The 20,986-nt window shown below is 47.9% G+C and overlaps 1 protein-coding gene across 19 annotated transcripts in view, besides 3 other annotated features; it reads right to left on the reverse strand.

The window, feature by feature from the left end:
- Positions 3,240-3,534: a silencer, noted in NCBI's record as "tiled region #5760; K562 Repressive DNase matched - State 18:Pol2". NCBI's record gives its function as "represses a minimal TATA promoter and a strong SV40 promoter by Sharpr-MPRA in K562 cells {active_cell/tissue: K562}" and the evidence as "EXISTENCE:reporter gene assay evidence [ECO:0000049][PMID:27701403]".
- Positions 4,351-4,976: an enhancer, noted in NCBI's record as "H3K27ac-H3K4me1 hESC enhancer chr20:45836841-45837466 (GRCh37/hg19 assembly coordinates)". NCBI's record gives its function as "activates a minimal SCP1, AML or CMV promoter by ChIP-STARR-seq in naive H9 embryonic stem cells {active_cell/tissue: H9 hESC(naive)}" and the evidence as "EXISTENCE:reporter gene assay evidence [ECO:0000049][PMID:30033119]".
- Positions 4,977-5,600: an enhancer, noted in NCBI's record as "H3K27ac-H3K4me1 hESC enhancer chr20:45837467-45838090 (GRCh37/hg19 assembly coordinates)". NCBI's record gives its function as "activates a minimal SCP1, AML or CMV promoter by ChIP-STARR-seq in naive H9 embryonic stem cells {active_cell/tissue: H9 hESC(naive)}" and the evidence as "EXISTENCE:reporter gene assay evidence [ECO:0000049][PMID:30033119]".
- The window catches only part of ZMYND8 (zinc finger MYND-type containing 8), a 147,486-nt gene continuing 131,868 nt past the window's right edge, over positions 5,369-20,986 (reverse strand). For 10 of the 19 annotated variants that reach the window (NM_001281781.3, NM_001281784.3, NM_001281771.3 and 7 more), the window contains 4 exons: positions 20,472-20,711; positions 17,469-17,629; positions 16,413-16,479; positions 5,369-7,052 (listed from right to left, as the gene is read on the reverse strand). In NM_001281781.3, the coding sequence (NP_001268710.1) occupies positions 6,916-7,052; positions 16,413-16,479; positions 17,469-17,629; positions 20,472-20,711 (605 nt within the window). In that variant the 3' untranslated portion in view covers positions 5,369-6,915. Of the gene's footprint in view, positions 7,053-8,796; positions 8,881-16,412; positions 16,480-17,468; positions 17,630-20,471; positions 20,712-20,986 lie in introns of all 19 variants that reach the window. The other 9 variants (NM_001281782.3, NM_001281777.3, NM_001281776.3 and 6 more) reach the window with 1 other exon arrangement.

The raw sequence follows: 20,986 nt of genomic DNA on the forward strand, positions 1-20,986 counted from the left end.
CAGTGTTTGAACCCAATGGGGCAGTGATGTGGGAAGTCTTTTTTTTTTTTTTTTCAGACGGAGTCTTGCTCTGTCACCCAGGATGGAGTGCAGTGGTGCAGTCAAAGCTCACTGCAGCTTCCACTTCCTGGGTTCAAGTGATTCTCCTACCTCAGCCTCCCGAGTAGCTGGGACTACAGGCGTACACCACCATGCCCCTGCTAATTTTTGTATTTGTAATAGAGACAGGGTTTCGCCATGTTGGCCAGGCTGGTCTCAAACTCCTGACTTCAGGTGATCTGCCCGCCTCAGCTTCCCAAAGTGCTGGGATTACATGCGTTAGCCACCATGCCTGGCCAATGTGGGAAGTCTTAACACAAAGGTCCTGCAATGTAATCTGGACATTGTTGGTTGCTGTGCAATCTCCTAATCCATCTCTCTGGCCTTCCCAGGGATTTGTGAGCCACTCAATATCCTTTAACAAATGCCTTTTCTGCTCAAATTAGCTGGAGTGCATTCTGTTATTTGCAACTAAAAACCTGACCCCTCCCAATTCATGTATCCCCCAAGTGTCCGTTTCCCGAGCTGCACAGAGTGGAATAACCACCCCAGGGCAGCTAAGAGAAGCCTGGGGAGTCATTTTGTAAACTCACCACGGTGTCACACACACACACAGGGCTAGTTGTGACTGGGGCAGTGTTGCCTGATGATTCACTGAACTGGCTTGGGAAGTAAGCAGACTGGTTTGAGTCCCGGCTCTGCAGTGACCTTTTGTGTGATCTTGAGCAAGTCACTTTTTTCTCTCTGAACCTCAGCTGCCTCACTGGGAGAATGGGCCTGTTACGAGGGCCTGCTCCATGTAGGGAGTTATTACAAAACCCGAAGGATTACAGCATGGAAAGCCTCAGCACAGAGCCCCACGTGGGGCAGGCCCACATCAGCGACACTTGGAGGAATATAGGTGACCTTTGCTTCTCTAGACTAAAGAAAATAAATAAGAATATAGATGGGGTCCTGATGTACCCTGATATGAAGGTGGCAGCTAAATGCTGACCTTTGGAAAACTCAACTCTGATTATCGCCACTCGACTGTATAGTTTAAAATGGACGGTCGGCCGGGCGCGGTGACTCATGCCTGTAATACTAACACTTTGGGAGGCCAAGGCAGGTGGATCGTTGAGGTCAGGAGTTTGAGACCAGCCAGGCCAACATGGTGAAACCCCGTCTCTACAAAAAATACAAAAATTAGCCAGAAATTGCTTGAACCCGGGAGGCGGAAGTTGCAGTGAGCCAAAATCGTGCCACTGCACTCCAGCCTGGGCAACAGAGTGAGACTCTGTCTCAAAATAAAATAAAATAATAAAATAGACAGGCACACTGGCTCACACTTATAATCCCAGCACTTTAGGAGGCCAAGGCGGGTGAGTCGCTTGAGCTCACGAGTTCAAGACCAGCCTGGGCAACATTGTGAAACCCCGTCTCTGCAAAAAAATTTAAAAATTAGTTGGGCATGGTGGCGTGTGCCTGTAGTCCCAGCTGCTCAGGAGGCTGAGGCGGGAGGATGGGGTGAGCCTGGGAGGCGGAAGTTGCTGTGAGCAGAGACGTCCCTATAGCACTCAAGCCTGGGCGACAGAGCAAGACCTTGTCTCAAAAAATAAATAAATAAAATAATTGGGCTCAGTCCCCTCGGAAAGAAACCCCCTTCAGGTTCTACTGAACGGTGAGCCCCTCAGAGAGGGCTCCCAATCACATCATCTCCCTACCCGCCTAGCTTTATTTACCTTCAGCGCATCTAGCCCGCCTGGGATTATATTACATGCATACAGGTATCAAATTGCTTCCCAGTGAGAGTGTCAGATCAATAAGGACAGAGACCGAACCTGTTTTGTTCACTACTGTGTCACTACTGAGGACTTGACTCATACAGAGAGCTCAGTGAACAGCTGTCTCCGGAATGAAGGGTTTTGGCCCACGTGCTCGCTGTCCCCAGTGGGCCAGATCTCTCCACAGGCTGCAGTTTTGCCTATGGCCACCAGATAGCGAGCTTGCTGGACTGCATGAAAAGGTCTGAGCCAGTTCCTGCCCCGGTCATTGCCAAAGGAAACCAGCAAGGAACTGGCAGCTTCTGCCAGGTTCACCAGACCTCACTGCATCTCCCTCTTCTTCTCCTCATTCTGAAAACACTCAACCCAGACTGGAACCTTCAAGCCCCTCCCCTCCTACCTGGCCTCTCACTGACCCACTGGTGTGGCCTGAGAAGTAAGCAGATTAGAGAGTGTTCTAATTAGGTGGAGTGGATTCTGTTATTTGCAACTAAAAACCTGACCCCTCCAAATGCATGTAACCCCTGAGTCTCAGTTTTCCAAGCTGCACAAAGAGTGGAATAACCACCCCACTGGGCAGCTAAGAGGAGCCTGGGGAGTCATTTTATAATGGTGCTCACTGCAGGGCCGTTTGCCGTGGCCAGAGTTTGGGGACAATCTCAATGTCCACCAGCTGGGGGCTGGCCACATGCATTATCCCGTGTCCACATAGCAGATATCACACCCCCTAAAAATGGATGGAGGTGCTCTTGAACTGCACTGATATGGATCAATACTCAAGGCTTCAGATTAAGTTTAAAAAAAAAAAACGGGGCAAGGGGACAGGGCAGAAGAGTGTGTATCAAATGCTATCATTTATGTAGAAAAAGGGGGCCGGGAGCAGTGGCTCATGCCTGTAATCCCAGCACTTTAGGACACCGAGGCGGGCAGATCACCTGAGGTCAGGAGTTCAAGACCAGCCTGGTCAACATGGTGAAACCCTGTCTCTACTAAAAATACAAAACTCAGCTGGGCATTGTGGCGGGTGCCCTTAATCCCAGCTACTCGGTAGGCTGAAGCAGAAAAATTGCTTGAATCCAGGAGGTGGATGTTGTAGTGAGCTGAGATTGCGCCACTGCACTCCAGCTTGGGCGACAGAGCGAGACTCCGTCTTAAAAAAGAAGAAAAGGAGCAGAGAAAAATGTCTCTGCATTTGTTTGTAAATGCAGACTCTCCCTGAGGACTATGTGGGAAGGGGGATTGGAGGGGACCGAGGTAGCAGGGAGGGAGAGGCTTTATACTATGGGCCCTTTCGTATCTTCAGATTTGAGTCATGTGGGCTGTTTTACCTGGTCAGATGAATGGTAAAACTAAAAGCAACCATTTCTCTATCCTCGAGTAAGCAAGCCACTTCCCTAGATGTCTTTGCTTCTAAGGGAGGTTGCGGCAGAGGCTGGATGGGGGTGCAGTGGGACACCTCAAGGTGGCCTCTGCATTTGAATGCTGCGCTGCTGGCTACTCGCTACTTAGGAGCCCAGCTGCTGGCTGCTCGCTACTTAGGAGTGGCATGACCTTCATTGTGTCCAAGCCCTGGGGACACAGCAGGGAACAGAGAAAGCACCTCCCTCACCCAGCTCACATTCAACTGGGACACACAGGAGAAGTAATAAAACCCCACACCCTTTGCTCAGAGATATGAAGAAAATATTGAGGGCATGATGGGCCCGTGGGCAGGTGGCTATTTCAGGAGTGACATCTGAAGAATCAGGTACCAGCCACAGAAGAGGGTATCAGGTCAAAGGAGCAGAGAGTGCAGTTGAGACTAGAAAGGCAGGAGCTGAAAGAAGACAATGGATGACCCCTCGTAGCCATGGCCCCTCCTTTCTCTGGTCTTCAGGATGAAATGAGACAACAGAGGAAAGGTGCACACACATGCCCAGGAACGGGAAGCTAACATTCTTCTCACTTAAAAAAATGACTTGGAGGCTAGGCACGGTGGCTCACACCTGTAATCCCAGCACTTTGGGAGGCTGAGGCAGGCGGATCACCTGGGGTTGGGAGTTCGAGACCAGCCTGACCAACATGGAGAAACCTCATCTCTACTAAAAATACAAAATTAGCTGGGTGTGGTGGTGGATGCCCGTAACCCCAACTACTCGGGAGGCTGAAGCAGAATTGCTTGAACCCGGGAGGCGGAGGTTGCAGTGAGCCAAGATCGCGCCATTGCACTCCAGCCTGGGCAACAAGAGCAAAACTCTGTCTCAAAAAAAAAAAAGACTTGGGAGGCCAAGGTGGGTGGATCACCTGAGACAAGGAGTTCGAGACCAGCCTGGCCAACATGGCGAAAACCCCATCTCTACTAAAAATACAAAAATTAGCTGGGCATGGGTGGTAGGCACCTGTAATCCCAGCTACTCGGGAGGCTGAGGCAGGAGAATTGCTTCAACCCGGGAGGCTGAGTTTGCAGTGAGCTATCACACCACTGCACTCCAGCCTGGGTGATGGAGACTCTCCCTCCAAAAAAAGAGGAGAGTCCAGGTGCCATGGCTTACACCTGTAATCCCAGCACTTTGGGAGTCTGAGACAGGCAGATCACTTCAAGTCAGGAGTTCAAGCCCAGCCTGGGGAATATGTGAAACCCTCGTCTCTAAAAATACCAAAAAATGAGCCAGGCATGGTGGTGCACATCTGAATCCCCAGCTACTTGGGAGGCTGAGGCACCAGAATTGCTTGAACCCAGGAGGCGGAGGTTGCAGTGAGCTGAGATTGCGCCACTGCACTGCAGCCTGGGTGACGGGGCGAGAATCCGTCTCAAAAAAAACAAAAAATGAGAATAACTTGTAGACAGTCTGTCTTCCTGTGAAGAATGAGAGGCCCACCCTGACAGGGCTCCTGTGCCCTGCTCACCATCTGTCCCCAGTAACTGAAACTGTGCATGGCTAATGACAGGTCCCCTGTAATACTTGAGTAACTGAACGATTGTTGTCCCCATTAGGATGCAAGTTTGATGAAGGCAGGGACCCGACTCCTTGATGGCACCATGGGATCCTCAGTGCCTGGACAGTGCCTGACGCGATGTGTGTTTGCTGATTGGCAGGAATGAACTTATGCCCACGCGGGCCAACCTCCCCTGCCGGCCATGTCATGTCTTGGCCCTTGGCACAGGAAGGGGTTTGTGGAGATCTTTTCTGGGGAGTTACTGGATTGCAGAGAAGGAACACTGCTGCCCAGGAAACCAAACCTCAGCCTTTCAAGCCGGCTTCATTCTACTCATACCCTGTGCACCTCCAGCCAGGCCCAGAGCCATGGACCAGGGCACCTGCGAGGGGCTGGGATCCTTGCTGCCCACGCGAGGCCTGTTAGCTCGGCCTCCCTACGGGCTTCAAGAAGACAACTCCGTCCTCTCCCAACTGTTTGACGAGGACTGGCGTGGGGGGCACCCACTAGGGCCCATTCTCTCCAGTGTGCCCACCACCTGGCTGTGGGGGGTGTTCATGACCTCTCACGGCCCCTTCTGTGTTTGGTCGTGCAAACCTGACACAGCCATCCCGACCAAATGGAAAACTGCAAATTCGAGGACGACCACGGCATTTTTCCAAAACAGTTTAATTAAAAAAAGGTAAAGAAATCTGAAAAAACTGGGGGGGTGGGGGAAGGAACGGGCAAACCCAAAAAAGCATATAGTGTGAGTCTACTGGCTCAGTCACAAAGAAACACCACCATCAAAAAGATATTTAAGTTTAATACAAATTTTATACAAAGAAAATGTGAAAAAATACTTCCATATGCTAAAAGCAATTATGCTTCACAAATAAGGCCAGCTAGGCTATTTTTTTTTTTTGACAACTGCAATTCACAAATGTTCTTTCTCTCCTGTTTTCTTCTAATACTCTCTTATTTCTTCTCTAATATGGGTAACTAGCTGGAAACTGTACAGTTCGCATCCTCTTAACAATGAAGAGAAAGTAAACAAGACTAAAATGTACAACAAAACGTACTGGAATGATATCGTACAATTAATTTTCTCATATACATACATCACCTTTTGCTTTTTCATCAATGCTTTTTGTTTTACACAACATACAAAATGGCTCTACAGCATACGTAGTGTACGGACAGCATGACGGGCCTTGCTTTCTCTCATACTGCCTGTGTTTCATGCTTACATAAAAACGTGAAATTCCATCATATAAATAATACGTACATGCTTCATCCCAGACTCAAACGTCCTCTGCGTGCACCTTGCCTTTGAGTCCTTGCTTCCAAGAAGCACAGCATCTCTGACCAAGTGTGTGTGAGTGTGTTTAAAGGAACCACAAAGCAAAGATAAGGTTTCTCTTTTTTTCAGAGTTCATGATCCTAAGACTTTCTGTGTTCTCTCCTGTGACTGAGCTGAGTGGGGCTTGTTTGTTTCTCTTCTGTAAACAAGGATATTGTTTTTTCCCTTTTAGGAGTAGAGTCATCATTTCAATCACATGAAAGAAACTAGCTTCTCCCTGTGTCCGTCTGGTCCGGAGAGCTTGCGTTTTAGGAACGTGGTAACGTAGTAGCTGAAAGGAGCCAACGGCTTGATGGGATAGTCTGTGCCGAAACTCCCGATCCCAACATGCTGCGTACAGACACACGAGCGAAAACGGTTCGCCCTCCCCTGGGTATCCAAGGATGAGGACGTGAGTATGAAAGTGGTCCCCGGGCCCAGTATCCATTCCGTCGTGTGACAGACAGGCTAACTGACCATCCCTTCTCCAATACCAAAACATTCTTTTTTGTTGTTGGGGTTGGTTGCTTTTTTTTTTTTTTTTAAATCGTTTTTCTTTTTCTTTTTTTTTTTTTAATAAGTTAAAGTTAATACAAATATAAAAAGGGGAAAGTCCTCTAGATTCAATGACATCCACAAATTGTACATTATTTACACCAAAAGCACAGGGCTCGTGTGGGTGAACAGTCTGCAGTCAAAGCCGATGCTGGGTGTCCTGTAGTGTAGCAGCCCCCGCGCCGGGGGCTCAGGCTCAACTGAGGGTTTTGTCATTTTCAAGTCTGAAAGTGGCTGTTCTCCTGCCTTTGTTGTTTCTTCTTTTCCTGGCGTCTGGGTTTTTCTCCCAATGGGGTGGGTGGTTTGTGTCCCGATTCACTGCTAGTCCCAGAAGGTGTCCAGCCGAGACTCTTTCGGGAGGAGGCTCTTCGTGCTGGTACTGGTGTTGTGATCGGAACGTGTCGATCCCCTCTTCTCATCACTGCTGCTCCAACTGGATTTATTACTCCGGGAATGGTCTGAGGGGGAAAACCAATGTGTTTAGCGTGCCTGCCCACCTGCGCCTGAGCACAACTATCCTGCAATCTGACCTGCCCCTCCTGCACAGGAAACCACCTTCCCCTCCCAATTGATGGTTCAAACACTGCCACCGCTGACTGCCCTGCATCTGTGGGTCTGTAGAACAGAAAGGTAGAACAACTTATTTTTTAGGATTTAACGACAACCGGTTGAAAAAACGGTAGGGTGTCATGCTCACAGAGAATAAAGATTTGTAGAAAAGGTGCTGAACTGCCAAGGAAGGCATTTCTTGTGCCGTGTCTGGAACCGTGTATCCTTACTACATCACTGAACGACACCAAGCACCCCATGCACTTCTGGGTCCAACCTTGGCCCCTGGAGAAAGACACTGAAATTTGGCATGCAGTCTACTTCCGTTAGTGGGATTTCTTTTATCAATGTATAGGCAACTTGAAAAATGGCCTTACAACCAAATCACACTTGTCCACCCAAGGGAAAGGATCATAAAGGAGAAGAATGGTTAAGTCCACCTGGGAACACACACCCACTGACTCCCGGTAAGGACAAGCTTATGGGTGACTGAAGAATTCAGAATCAGAATAAGACCTAGGATGGCTTCAAGGACACATGGACAAGGAGCTGAGTAGTGACTGAGTAAGAAATAAGTGAAGAAGCTGAAGGAAGAGCCGAATGAGGTGTCTGTGAAGAGCACTTTAGCCAACAGCCCAGCCCAGATCTGCAGCTCTGCTAGATGGCTGACTGGAGAAACCTTCCAGCCAAGCCCTAAGATCCCATCACATCCTGGATCATGTACTAAGTTCAGACAGACTGGGACAGAATTATTTTTTAATTTCTTAAGGTGGGTGATAATGTTTGGTTGAAAGAGGTTGAGGGCAAGAGTGGAGTGGGCCAAGGAGGGGACCATGCTACTACCTAGGGGGGCTGCATTTCTTACTGCCTGGTAAAAAGGCATGTGTGGGTAATCATGAGTTCTGGAAGATAAGCAGTGAAGAGAATGACAAAGATCTCCAAAGTCATGTAGTTACTCAGGAGAGAACTCTTCTTAGTCATGTGCATCAGTGACCAAAAGGGAGCAATACTATGGTAGGCAGAGCTGGGGGCAAGGGCGGAGTCTTCTTAACAATCCTCAATCTGCCTTCTTATGCCTTCTTCCCTTAGCCGCCATGCCTATGCTTTTATTTCTCCGGAAGGACTCTGGGGAGTGATGCAGCTGGTCATCCCCATCTGGGAGAAAATCCTACAGTGATGTGGTCAAACCACATCAAGTCCTTCCAGCTCTGGTGAGGGCAGAGACCACCAGCGGGTACTGGAAGAAATGGGACCAGGGCCAAGCTGAGTTCAGTATCTCTCTCCCAGAACCAGGCTGGCTAATGGAGGGATCTGCAGGCCCTCACTCCTCATATGGAGAGGACACGGGACACTGGCTGCCATAGCCAATCACCACAGGAGGGAATCGGTGTTCATCTAGGACCCTTTATGAAAAGAGCGAGGACGATCTCCATCAAGAAGCCAGGCCACATGCTCGCTCTCATTTCCTAATGCAGTTTGTGATGGCGACCAGAGGCACAGCGAAGAAGAAACGTTGCAAAGGAAGACCCACAACTCAAAAGAACAGGAGAAGACACACCCACAAAGGAACACATACACGGACACACACAGAACAAGCCTTCTGCATACCAGGAAGAAGCCCCGGCAGCTTTCGTAAGACAGGTTCATACTTACACTTCTGGGCGGGGTAGTTGGGGTGCGGCTGGTGGTCTGTGGTGGTTGGGGCATAGGCAGGTTGCTTGTCACACCTTTTGCTAACTGAAGAGATAGCACAGGTAGCCTCAGAGTCTGTCAGAGAGCTGGAATTCCGCACAACCCCAAGTGCTTACTATTTTTGTTCATCAACAGGCTACTGTTATTAGAACCAGTTGGCACCTTCATTCATGTCACCATTGTCCAACTTTAATGCAAGCACAGGAGACTAAGTCTCTTTAAAAATGCATATCAAACCACAAACAGCATCACTGGACACAGCACAGCATTACAGGTAGGAAATAAGGTATACAATGACATAAAAGCAACTCAGCATTTTGTAAGCCACAAATTTTCAACCACTAGCTCTGCCAATAGCCTAATTCAACCATGGGAAACGGAGGCAGGCACTAGAAACGTGCTAAGGTTGAAGGCAGCACCCGAGAAAGCCAGACAATTTAAGGCAATAACTCATCAACTGCCCACAGTGATAACAGAATAGGGAGGAGAGGATGGAGAAGGCACACGTGATGAGGAGGACTAAGGAAGGGGCTCCAGATGAGGTGGCAAGTAAGCTAAATTCTCAGCTACGATGGTAGCACACCAACAAATCACCTCTGAAATCAGAGTCAAAAAACAGTGATATGAAAGGAGTCTCCGTAAACAGCTGATACCGTGAGAAGCTTCATAGGAAAACAATTGAAAGTAAGATCAAGAGAAAAAATAGAAACTCCAGGAAAAAGGCTATAAAAGAATGGAATATAATCACAGTACACTATGTGACTCTGCCATGAATGATATGGTCATAATCATACAAGAAAGAATTGTCACACTGCAACTTTTTAGACTAAGCCAACAGACAAGAGTGAGGCTTAACTGCAGTTATAGGACAGAATGCACATGTTCTCAACCTTGACAACGGGGAAAGTCACAGGACAGGTGGGAAGCCTGGCTATGACAGGGGTGGGAGAGGTAAGGAGAAGATGGACTGCCAAAAGAGGGGTCAAGAGATACTGTCTGTAGCAGACAGAACAAAAGAGCTAAGGAGGCAAGTGTTTCACTGGAGCAAGGTAGCACATAAAATAGCAACCTCAGTAGTGTGGGAAGAGGAAGAGAAGAGTAACTCTCATCTTTTAAAGCTCGAAGTCAACAAATAATATCTAATGATGAAGTCAAGAAATAGAGGTATAGCCAAGTACATTATTTATTAGTAAGGAGGTAACAGAAGGACCAGAATGAGCCGTGTAAACTGGAACTAGGAAGAGTTTTCCCCTGCACTATTTTATTCTCTGCAACTCTATGCATATAGCTCTAACTAAAAGCTTAAAACGAAAAGATGAACAGGAGAGGCCCACACACTAAGGGAGCTCATACCCCTAACTAAAATTCTCTCTCTTCCAACTAAACTTAGATGTACTGTCCTAGTACCTGATGCACATAAATAGCTCAGAAGCCTTGACGTTTTTAAAACCCATGTTCCTTCTAGATATGTCACGTGCGCTGTCACCAGAAAGCAAGTGCTGGCAGAAGTAAAGTGACATGGATGAGGAATTAATTAGAAGGGGATCAAAACTGAGGAAGTCTTTTTGCTTTGACGTGACCTGTCAACACAAACTGCTTTGGTGAGAAAATCGGGAAGACTGAGAAGACTGACGGCTGCATTCCCGCACAGACCTCTGCGGCCTCCCTGCAGCTTCTCACTCACACTCTCAGAATCACTGCGGCACTGACTGCAAAACGCACTTTTTCTGCCACTTTCTGACCATGGGCTCCATGGCGCTCTCACTGTGCTGATGTGACTCTGCCCAGCCTCTTTCCAAGTCCTAAATGTCGGACTAAATCTCTTGTTTTTGAGACACAGTCTCACTCTGTCGCCCAGACTGGAATGCAGTGGCACGGTCTCAACTCACTGTAACCTCCGCCTCCTGGGTTCAAGTAATTCTCATGCCTCAGGCCCCTGAGTAGCTGGGATTACAGGGGTGTGTCACCACGCCTAGCTAATTTTTTGTACTTTTAGTAGAGACGGGGTTTCACCATGTTGGTCAGGCTGGTCTTGAACTCCTGACCTCAAATGATCCACCCACCTTGGCCTCTCAAGGTGTTGGGATTATAGGCATGAGCCACCACGCCTGACCTAAATGCGGGGCTAAATCTCTTTTAGTGTAGCCCCGGGTGCACCTCAATCTTTATCCAAACCCTGGAGAGGAGGCCCTTTCTGACATGAAGATACCATGATTCTAGCCAATCTGGTCGTCTTTTAAGAAAAAAGTCTCTGCTGCTGACCACGGTGGCACATGCCTATGATCCCAGCTACTCAAGAGGCTGAAGTGGGAGAATGGCTTGAGCTCAGGCCAAGTTCAAGGCCAGCCTCGGCAACAAGGCAAGATCCTGTCTCTTAGGTTTCAAAACAACATTTAGAATTAAAAATGTCGGCCAGGCATGGTGGCTCACGCCTGTAATCCAAGCAGTCTGGGAGGCCGAGGCAGGTGGATTGCCTGAGCTCAGGAGTTCGAGACCAACCTGGGCAACACGGTGAAACCCCATCTCTAATAAAATACAAAAAATTAGCTGGGCGTGGTGGTGTATTCCTGTAATCTCAGCTGCTCAGGAGGCTGAGGCAGGAGAATCACTTGAACCTGGGAAGCAGAGGTTGCAGTGAGCCAAGATTGCACCACTGCACTCCAGCCTGGGCAACAGTGCAAGACTCCATCTCAAATACTAATAATAATAATAATAAATGTCCATGACTGTTAATGGCTTAGGGGGATGGTGGAGTATCAGAATAGAAACTGTATCATAGCAGCAGCGGAGTGTGTAAAGAAAGGGAAATGGAGACAAATGAAACAACTTTTTTTTTTTTTTTTAAATATGAGGTCTCACTCTGTTGCCCAGCTGGAGTGCAGTGGCTATTCACAGGCACTCACTGCAGTCTCAAAACTCCTAGGCTCAAGTAACCCCCCTGACTCAGCCTCTCCAAGTAGCTGGGACTACAGGTGGGCCCTAGCTCTAGAATAACAACCCTTGAAGAGACATCTAACTAACTGGGTTGAGGAAGGAGACAGGACAGGTCTTAAGCTATGCCATTCAATATGGTAACCACTACAATAAGATACAATGTTAAATTCCATTCCTCAGTCGCACTAGCCACAGTTCAAGGCTTCAGCAGCGACACGTGGCTAGTGGCTACCATAGTGGACAGTGCAAATATAAGAACATGGCCATTGTCACAGAACGTTCTATTGGAGATGCAAGGTGTCAAGGAAGGCACTTGGAGATAGATGAGGATATTTAAGTGCCTAGGAAGAAAAGCAATACAGAGTGAGAAATCTGGCTACAACAAAGGATGCAGATGCCTTTGAACGGCAGGAGGGAAGGACAGAGCACACCACGGAGGCCCTGCAGAGGGCAGAGGAGCAGCCCTGAGCGCCCAGGGATGGTGACGCAGGGAGAGATGCAGGGAGGTCCAAAACAGAGCAGAGAACTTGAGAAATAGCCATCATGGACGATGGAATCCTGATAAAAACAAAAAACTTGGGTCACAACACAGGCCTCTGGCCAGGCACGGTGGCTCATGCCTGTAATCCAGCACTTTGGGAAGCCAAGGTGGGTGAATCACTTGAGGTCAGGAGTTCAAGACCAGCCTGGCCAACACAGTGAAACCTTGTCTCTATTAAAAATACAAAAAATTAGTTGGGCATGGTGATGCACACCTGTAATCCCAGCTACTCAGGAGGCTGAGGCAGGAGAATCACCTGAATTGAGGAGGCAAAGGTTGTAGTGAGCCAAGATCACGCAACTGCACTCCAGTCTGGACAACAGAGCGAAGACTCTGTCTCAAAAAAAAAAAAAAAAAAAAAAAGGGCCGGGCTGGGCGTAGTGGCTCAAGCTTGTAATCCCAGCACTTTGGGAGGCCAAGGCACGTGAAATCACCTGAGGTCAGGGGTTCAAGACCAGCCTGGCCAACATGGTGAAACCCCATCTCTACTAAAAATACAAAATTAGCTGGGTGTGGTGGTGCACACCTATAATCCCAGCTACTCGGGAGGCTGAGGCAGGAGAATCACTTGAACCCAGGAGGCAGAGGTTGCAGTGAGCCGAGATCATGCCACTGCACTCCAGCCTGGGCGACAGAGCAAAGACTCTGTCTCAAAAAAGTAGAATAAAAAAAGAACACAGGTCTCTGGGGACAAAAAGTATTAATAAAAGAAAAACATATTGGGAAGACGATCCGGCAGAAGAGAATATCTGCTTCTGAGGTTAGTGACCCAGATTTGCGTGTGTGATGAGAGGAGTTTGTGTTCTTGTGTAACATTCTCCAGTTAAGCACTGAGGCTCAGGTGCAGGTAAATCAAAAGCGGAAAGCTGGGGTTCATCCAAGGTGAGGTTTTGCCAAATGGACATGCTAGGAAAACAGGAAGGGCCTGGGAGACTGGGTTGTATTAGCAACAGTACTCCATGGAAATTAAGCTGGGTAAGGAGGTAGGAAGGAGGGAGGTATAGAAACAAGACAGTTAGTAGAATTGGGTGAGGAAAAAAAGGCCACATCTGCACGCTGACGTTTCCTAGAGATCAGTGCCTTATTAGCAGAGCCACGCACAAGTGCCATTACTCAGCCATTTTTGAGTTACAACAATTTTATAGGTGTCCACCTAAGTATACCTGACATATGGTTGCAAGCATGAGTCTGGATTGCAAAGCTCAATTGGTTGCATATGGTTGCAAAGCTCAGTCCTTGTTAAAAAGAGAATCAAGAAATATGAGAGATGCTAAAGACATCTCAGTATCAAACTAAGCCTGTTCGAAGGGGAAGTGAAGAGGGAGTTGCTTTCTCAGTAGGTGCTTCCGTCATATTTAATGCCAAGTTCGTATCCTTCCTAAAGTGAGCTCACGTTACTCCCTCTGACTGTGCCCCCAAATCCCACCCACCCACCTTTCAAAGCATGAGTCTGGAGAGATCTGAACTGAAGTCTTGGCTCTCATAATTACTCATTGAGTTACCTGGGCATCTGAGTTAATGTCTCTGGACCTCAACTTGCTCATCTGTATAATGGAAATACTAACTATGCTCTTACAGACATTGGGGAAAAACATGATAAGGTGTTCATGCTCTTCAGTATCACCAATAGCTGCTCTTCTGACTTCCTTTGAAACTCCACGAAGATAGGCATTTATCTGCCTTATTCAGAAAAACTGCCCCTTCCTCCCCCTGCTCGCCCCCCTCTTCCCCCCACCATTTACTGGGGCTTCTTGCCTCCTCTCCCTTCCACTCCCTGGGCCAGTGTGCCTCAGGTCAGGAGTCAGCAAACTATGGCCAGCTCAATGCCTGTTTTTGCAATTCAAGTTTCATTGGCACAAGGCACACGTTTGTTTACATATTATCTATGTCTACTTTCACACTACAACGGCAGGGTGAGCAGCTATGACAGGAACCATGCGGCCTGCAAAACCTAAAATACTTACTAAATGGCCCTCTATGGAAAAAGTTTCTTGACCCTGGTCTAGGTAATACTCCTCCAGCTCAGAATGGAATACGATGCCTCTCCCAACTACCTTCCTGTATGCCACCCTCCTGATGCCAACAGACTCCTGCCAGATTCATCCTACCACGGCATCATTCATCTTCTCAGATGCCATTTCAATCAAGCCACTTTGAGGCTCCAAAACCCTAACAGCACCCCTCTGTCTGAAACGGTGTTTCCCTAACTTGGACCTTCCTCACACCACTTGTGCCATTTCGACACATCCATAGTCCTCTTACATATTGCTTAGTTCATGTTTTTATTTTAAACTTATGTAACTTAGGTAAATAACTAAACTTTTATTGTTAACCAACAAAAAACACAAAACCAATAAAATCTGCTGTTAAATCAAGGGCAACTCCAAAAATGAATGTAATGAAAACCTTAAATTAAAAGTTCTAGGGTGGGGAGCATGCGGCTAAAATCTAGAGTCTGCTCAGTCTTTGTTAAAAAGAGAATCAGGAAATATGAGAGATGCTAAAGACATCTTAGCACTAAACTGAGCCTGTTACAAGGGGAAGTGAAGAGGGAGTTGCTTTTTCAATAGGTGGTTCAGTCATATTTAATGCCAAGTTCATATCCTCCCTCCTAAAGCAAGCTCATATTACTCCCTCTGACTGTGCCCCCAAATCCCATCCAACTTTCAAGGCCTAGCCCCTTAGGGAAACCGTTCCCAGCCCCTAACAATGGACATCACTTCTTCCTCCATGCACTCAATATGCAGAAGTGAAATGAAATGTTTGCTTTTCAGCTCAAGAGAATCGTCAGTGGCTCACGCCTGTAATCCCAGCACTTCCGGAGGCAGAGGCGGGAGGATCACTTGAGGTCAAGAGATCAAGACCAACCTGGCCAACATGGCAAAACCCCGTTTCTACAATTTTTTTTTTTTTTTTTTTTGAGAGAGAGTCTCGCTCTGTCTTCCAGGCTGGAGCGCAGTGGCACGATCTCGACTCACTGCAACCTCCACCTCCTGGGTTCAAGCGATTCTCCTGCCTCAGCCTCCCAAGTAGCTGGGATTACAGGCGCATGTCACCACGCCCAGCTAATTTTTGTACTTTTAGTAGAGACAGGGTTTCACCATGTTGGTCAGGCTGGTCTCAAACTCCTGACCTTGTGATCCGCCCACCTCAGCCTCCCAAAGTGCTGGGATTACAGGCATGAGCCACTGCGCCCGGCCTACCAAAATTTTTTTAAAAAATTAGCCAGGCATGGTGGTGCGTCCCTGTAGTCCCAGCTACTTGGGAGGCTGAGGCAGGAGAATCACTTGAGCCTGGGAGGCGGAGGTTGCAGTGAGCTGAGATCACACTACTGCACTCCAGCCTGGGCGACAGGGCAAGACTGTCTCAAAAAAAAAAAAAAATCATCATCAGGCAGAAAGGTCCTGGAGCTGTGGTGCCAGGCAAAAACCTTGAATGAAGTAAAACTGTCTTCCACCAGGAAGACACCTTCTCTGAACCCTTCTGGAATGACCCAAAACTGCTTTAAGAAAGTGCAGGAAAAAGATTCTTTGGGCTAAGGAAGGAAGACAGCTCAAACCCCACAGAAGAAAAAACCTAGATGTCAAGTCTCAGAAATTTCCCCAAACCTGCCTGCCAGGTTATTCTCCAAAAGGAAAGGATTTAACAGAAAGATCATCCACTTAAGCACTGCCTTCAATTCTCAAAGGCTTGAGCGCCTTCATCCACCATATGCAGGTGTCAGAACCTCAGAATAAAATCTTACACAGTGTCATTTACCGTTCTCATTTCCCTGAGAGAGAGAGAAAAAAAAAACTTCCCAATCCAAATGCACTTCTTCTACCCTACCCCAGGTCAGCAACAGAACCCTCTGTCCAAATGGAGTTTTATGTGGATCCCCAGTAAATACAATAGGTAATACCGATCAGCTTGAAGAGGTACCTGAAAGTTAACATGCTCAGCTACCCCCTCACCCCCACTGACCCACCCCAGGCACCCCTAAGGATCCATAATCGTTTGGAAACCATTGGAATAAACCCTTCAAATTCTCCCTGACAAAATGGCTCCCCATCTGCCCATCTGAAATGTGAAAGCACCGTTCGCCCACCAGGGGGCAACATACCAGAGCCTTGGTTGGAGCCTAAGAGAATGGAGGAGGGCGTCTCTCTGGAGCCAGAAAGGTCAAGGGTCTAGAAATACAAAAAGAAAAAGATGGACTCAAGGCACTGAGGCTACTGTCGCCCCCACAGGGAAATCCAGGGAGTCATGGGGGTGCTCATCGCTGCCCCCAAAGCATCTCAGTGTCCTCTGCCTGGCACGGTCAGGTGGGAGTGATGGGCACAGGGCGGCCAGGTGGCCAAACCCCAGGTACCATCTCCCACACTGAACAGACTGGAACGCAGCACCAGAGTGGCCCCTCACTGTACCCTAGAACATTCACTGTTTCCTAAACTCCACTCACTAACAGAACCCCCTCCAGATTTTTGCCATATCCAAGGAGAAAGTACATTACTTCAAAATTCTGTCAGTCCGCTTTTAATTCATGCTAGCCTCTGACTAGGTAATACTATCAGTTAAACCAACATGTTTTAACTGACAGTCTAACGATTTATCTTTTTCCTAATATGCAATGAAATAGATATACAGTGACTAAAAATGTAAAAAACTATATACTCATGAAAATAGTCTTTGCATACCATCAATGTCACATACATCACACCCTGGCAAACAAACAAGGAGGTGAAACCTTCGTGGCCCAATAGGGCAGCCACTAGCCACATGTGGCTACTGAAATCTCAATTAATTAAAATTAAATAAAACTGTAAAATCAGGTCCTCGGTCACACTAGCTGCATTTCAAGTGCTCAAAAGCTGCATGTAGCTAGCAGCTACCATTCTGGACGGGAAGTACAGAACATTTCCATCATCGCAGAAAGTTCTCCTGGGCAACACTATTCTACACTTTGAGGGTCCCCAGCAGAGAGTACTGGGGAGCAGCTGCCAGGTCCCACACACGCCGGCCCAGGCTCCATGTTCCCACACATCCACTGGAAATGCCGGCACACTGTTAGGACAAGCCTCCCACAACACGGAACTTTCAGGGCGGCAGACAGGGGGTCCTAAGTCCACTTGGCACAAAGGGTAGATGTCACTAGCCAAAGGCATGGGGGGATCCTCACCGAGCCACTCTCCTTGCTTTTCTCAGCTGACGTCTCCTTCTCTTTGGAGGCGCTGGCCGTTTCTGAAGGTGCTGATTGTGTGCTCGAGGAGCTCCCCTGGGAGGACTTATTTAGTGTTTCTGTGTTCACCTCAGCATCCGCTTCCTGCTGAGGAGCAGTAGCTGGGGACAAAGGAGAGAGAGAGACGCCACATATACACAGAGTACGATGATTTTGAAACATGCATGGAGCCCCGCCCTGCACCCAGTGGCACCCAAGGCTCAGCCCTACCCAGGGCATAAAAGTGGAGGCTCAAGGGGGCCAGATTGCCAGAGTTTTCCAGAAGCTGGAATTCCAAACTTTAGAATTCCAAATTTTAACATAAACATGCTGAGATGGAGTCTCGCTCTGTCAGCCAGGCTGGAGTGCAATGGCACGATCTCAGCTCACTGCAACCTCTGTCTCCTGGGTTCAAGTGATTCTCTTGTCTCAGCCCACCAAGTAGCTGGGACTCAGGTGCACACCACCATGTCCGACTAATTTTTTGTATTTTTAGTAGAGACAGGGTTTCACCATGTTGGTCAAGCTGGTATTGAACTCCTGACCTTAGGTGATCCACCCACCTCGGCCTCCCAAAGTGCTAGGATTACAGGCTTGAGCCACCGTGCCTAGCCAACATGTTGATTTTTAATGGTTAGCAATTCAAGTTTTATTAAATCATTCTGGAGATGAAAGTATATTCCTGGAACAAATAAAGCCCATCAACAAGAGCCAACCTGTAACTGCTGATTTAGTTACTCTATTTAGTCATTTCTAGGTGGAGACCTATATTTTTAGCCCCAGAGACTTTCTTCCTTCTAAGGTGGGACAGGAAAACCACGTGAAAGGCGACATGCTATCAGAGGCCCAGAGAATCTGGAGATGGCAGAAACTTGGACACATAGAAAAACAGGGCGTTTGGGGCCGGGTGCGGCGGCTCATGCCTGTAATCCCAGCACTTTGGGAGGCTGAGGCGGGCAGATCACGAGGTCAGGAGATCAAGACCATACTGGCTAACACAGTAAAACCCTGTCTCTACTAAAAAACACAAAAAATTAGCCAGGCGTGGTGGCGGGCACCTGTAGTCCCAGCTACTAGGGAGGCTGAGGAAGGAGAATGGCATGAGCCCGGGAGGCGGAGCTTGCAGTGAGCTGAGATCGCGCCGTTGCACTCCAGCCTGGGAGAAAGAGCGAGACTCCGTCTCAACGAAAAAAAAAAGGAAAAGAAAAACGCGTCTGGGAGGAATTTAGGAAGAACAGATGTAATTATGTCACAAAAAAAGGAAAGCCGAAGGACATTTTGGCCATCTTGGCAAAACAGCAAAAGGCTCATCAGACACATTCCAGAACGGAGGGAAAACACAAAGAGACTTTACTCCAGTAAGAGACCAAAAGTCTCTACAAAGAAGACATCTCCCTAAAGACTAAAGAACAGGGCAAGGTATTCTCCAATATTGCCTTTTAAAAAATAATAAAATAACAGATTTGTCTAGAGCAAGAGCTGGCAAGCTAGTGCTGCCTGTTTTATTGGCAGACAGCCACATCCATCCATTTATATATCATCTATGTCCATCCATTTACATATCATCTAAGACTGCTTCTGCACTGCAACAGCAGAGTTAAGTAGTAGCAACAGAAACCACATGGTGTACAAAGCCTAAAATATTCACTCTCGCCCTTCACAGAAAAAGTTTACCAACCCCTGGTCAAGCTTCTCACACTTGAGTCATTTACATACCACCTTTGCAAATTTTGCCAATCCGCAGACATACTACTTTATTGTATTATTTATGGGACACTTGAAATTCTTTAAAATGGAAGTGTTTAATTCCAACCATACAAAGCTAGTATCATTTGCCACAAATAAAAGCTAATGGTAAAAAATAACTTATAGGCTGGGCGTGGTGGCTCACACCTGTAATCCCAGTACTTTGGGAGGCTGAGGCCGGCAGATCACTTGAGGTCAGGAGTTCAAGACCAGCCTGGCCAACATGGTGAAACCCTGTCTCTACTAATAATACAAAAATTAGCTGCGCATGGTGATGTGTGCCTGTAATACCAGCCACTTGGGAGGCTGAGGCAGGAGAATCAGTGGAAGCCAGGAGGCAGGGTTGCAGTGAGCCGAGATCGTGTCACTGCACTCCAGCCTGGGGGACAAGAGCAAAACTCTGTCTCAAAATAATAATAATAATAATTCATAAAATATTATTGATGCCAGGCGCTGTGGCTCACGCCTGTAATCCCAGCACTTTGGGAGGCCAAGGTAGGTGGATCACCTGAGGTCAGGAGTTAAAGACCAGCCTGACCAACATGGAGAAACCCCATCTCTACTAAAAATACTAAAAATTAGCCGGGCATAGTGGCATATTTCTGTAATCCCAGCTACTCGGGAGGCTGAGGCAGGAGAATCGCTTGAACCCGGAAGGCAGAGGTTGCACTAAGCCGAGATCACGCCACTGCACTCCAGCCTGGGCAACAAGAGCGAAACTCTGTCTCAAAAAAAAAAAAAAAAGGATAAATTCTAACTAGATAGTGCTTCCTGCTGGAAGCTCTAGGCCTGGGGACTGCTTGTTCTATGTTGGAAAGGGTGATTACAAATATTACAGCAGTGTCAAAGATAGGTTAGTACCAAACTAACACTTTTTACTTAACAAAGAAATTGGGAATCCATATTATCTAAAGCCACAAGTCCATTACTGCCAAAAAAAACACAGTGTCTCAACTTCAGTACTACTGACACTTTAGGCCTGAGAAGAGATCAAGGGTTCTGCAAAGATCAAAGGTTCAAAATGCCCATGGCTCAAGTTTTAGCTATGTGCCTGCACACTGCTCACCTGTGTGTAAGACACAATTGTTTTTGAGTGAAAGTGTCCAGAAGCCAGGCAAGCTCCCTTGACAATTAGCCCTGAGACCCCTGAAGTCCACAGGGGAGACCAATGCCAAGCCACTGCAGCCCAGGACGGGAGGCAGCCCCACAGGGCATTACCTGACTGGGTGCAGGACTTCATGTGCTCAGGCCAGTGGGCTTGCTGGCAGGGGTAGTCACAGTAGCTGGTGTTCCAACAGCAGTAAAAGATGGCCTCCTTCTTGCAGTTGGCGCACCACTGCTTCTTCTTGGTCTCATCCACCGCCTGCTGCTTCTCCAACTCCAGCTGCTTCTTCACCTCGGCGATGAGCCGGTCCCGCTCCTGCTCCAGGCTCTGCCGCATCTCCGCCATGGTCAGCTCTGGTGGAGGAGGGGAAGAACACCGCTCATCACCTGACCCCAGCCTGGGGTGTGGGGTTATTCCTGCCCCCAGATTCAGGCAGACGTGGATGCAAGACCTGGCTGGGAGAAGCCCTGGCTGTGTGCCCATGGGCAATAACCTAGCCCGAGTCTTCATCTGTAAATAGGGCATTCATCATGGTGACCAGATGGTGCTGCCTGTTGAGAGTGGACATGAGGTGCCCAGCATGGACATAACTGCAGCCCCAGAGGATTTTCCACACCAGACTACATTC

Source organism: Homo sapiens, chromosome 20 (genome assembly GCF_000001405.40).
Source record: "Homo sapiens chromosome 20, GRCh38.p14 Primary Assembly".
Lineage (NCBI taxonomy): Eukaryota > Metazoa > Chordata > Mammalia > Primates > Hominidae > Homo > Homo sapiens.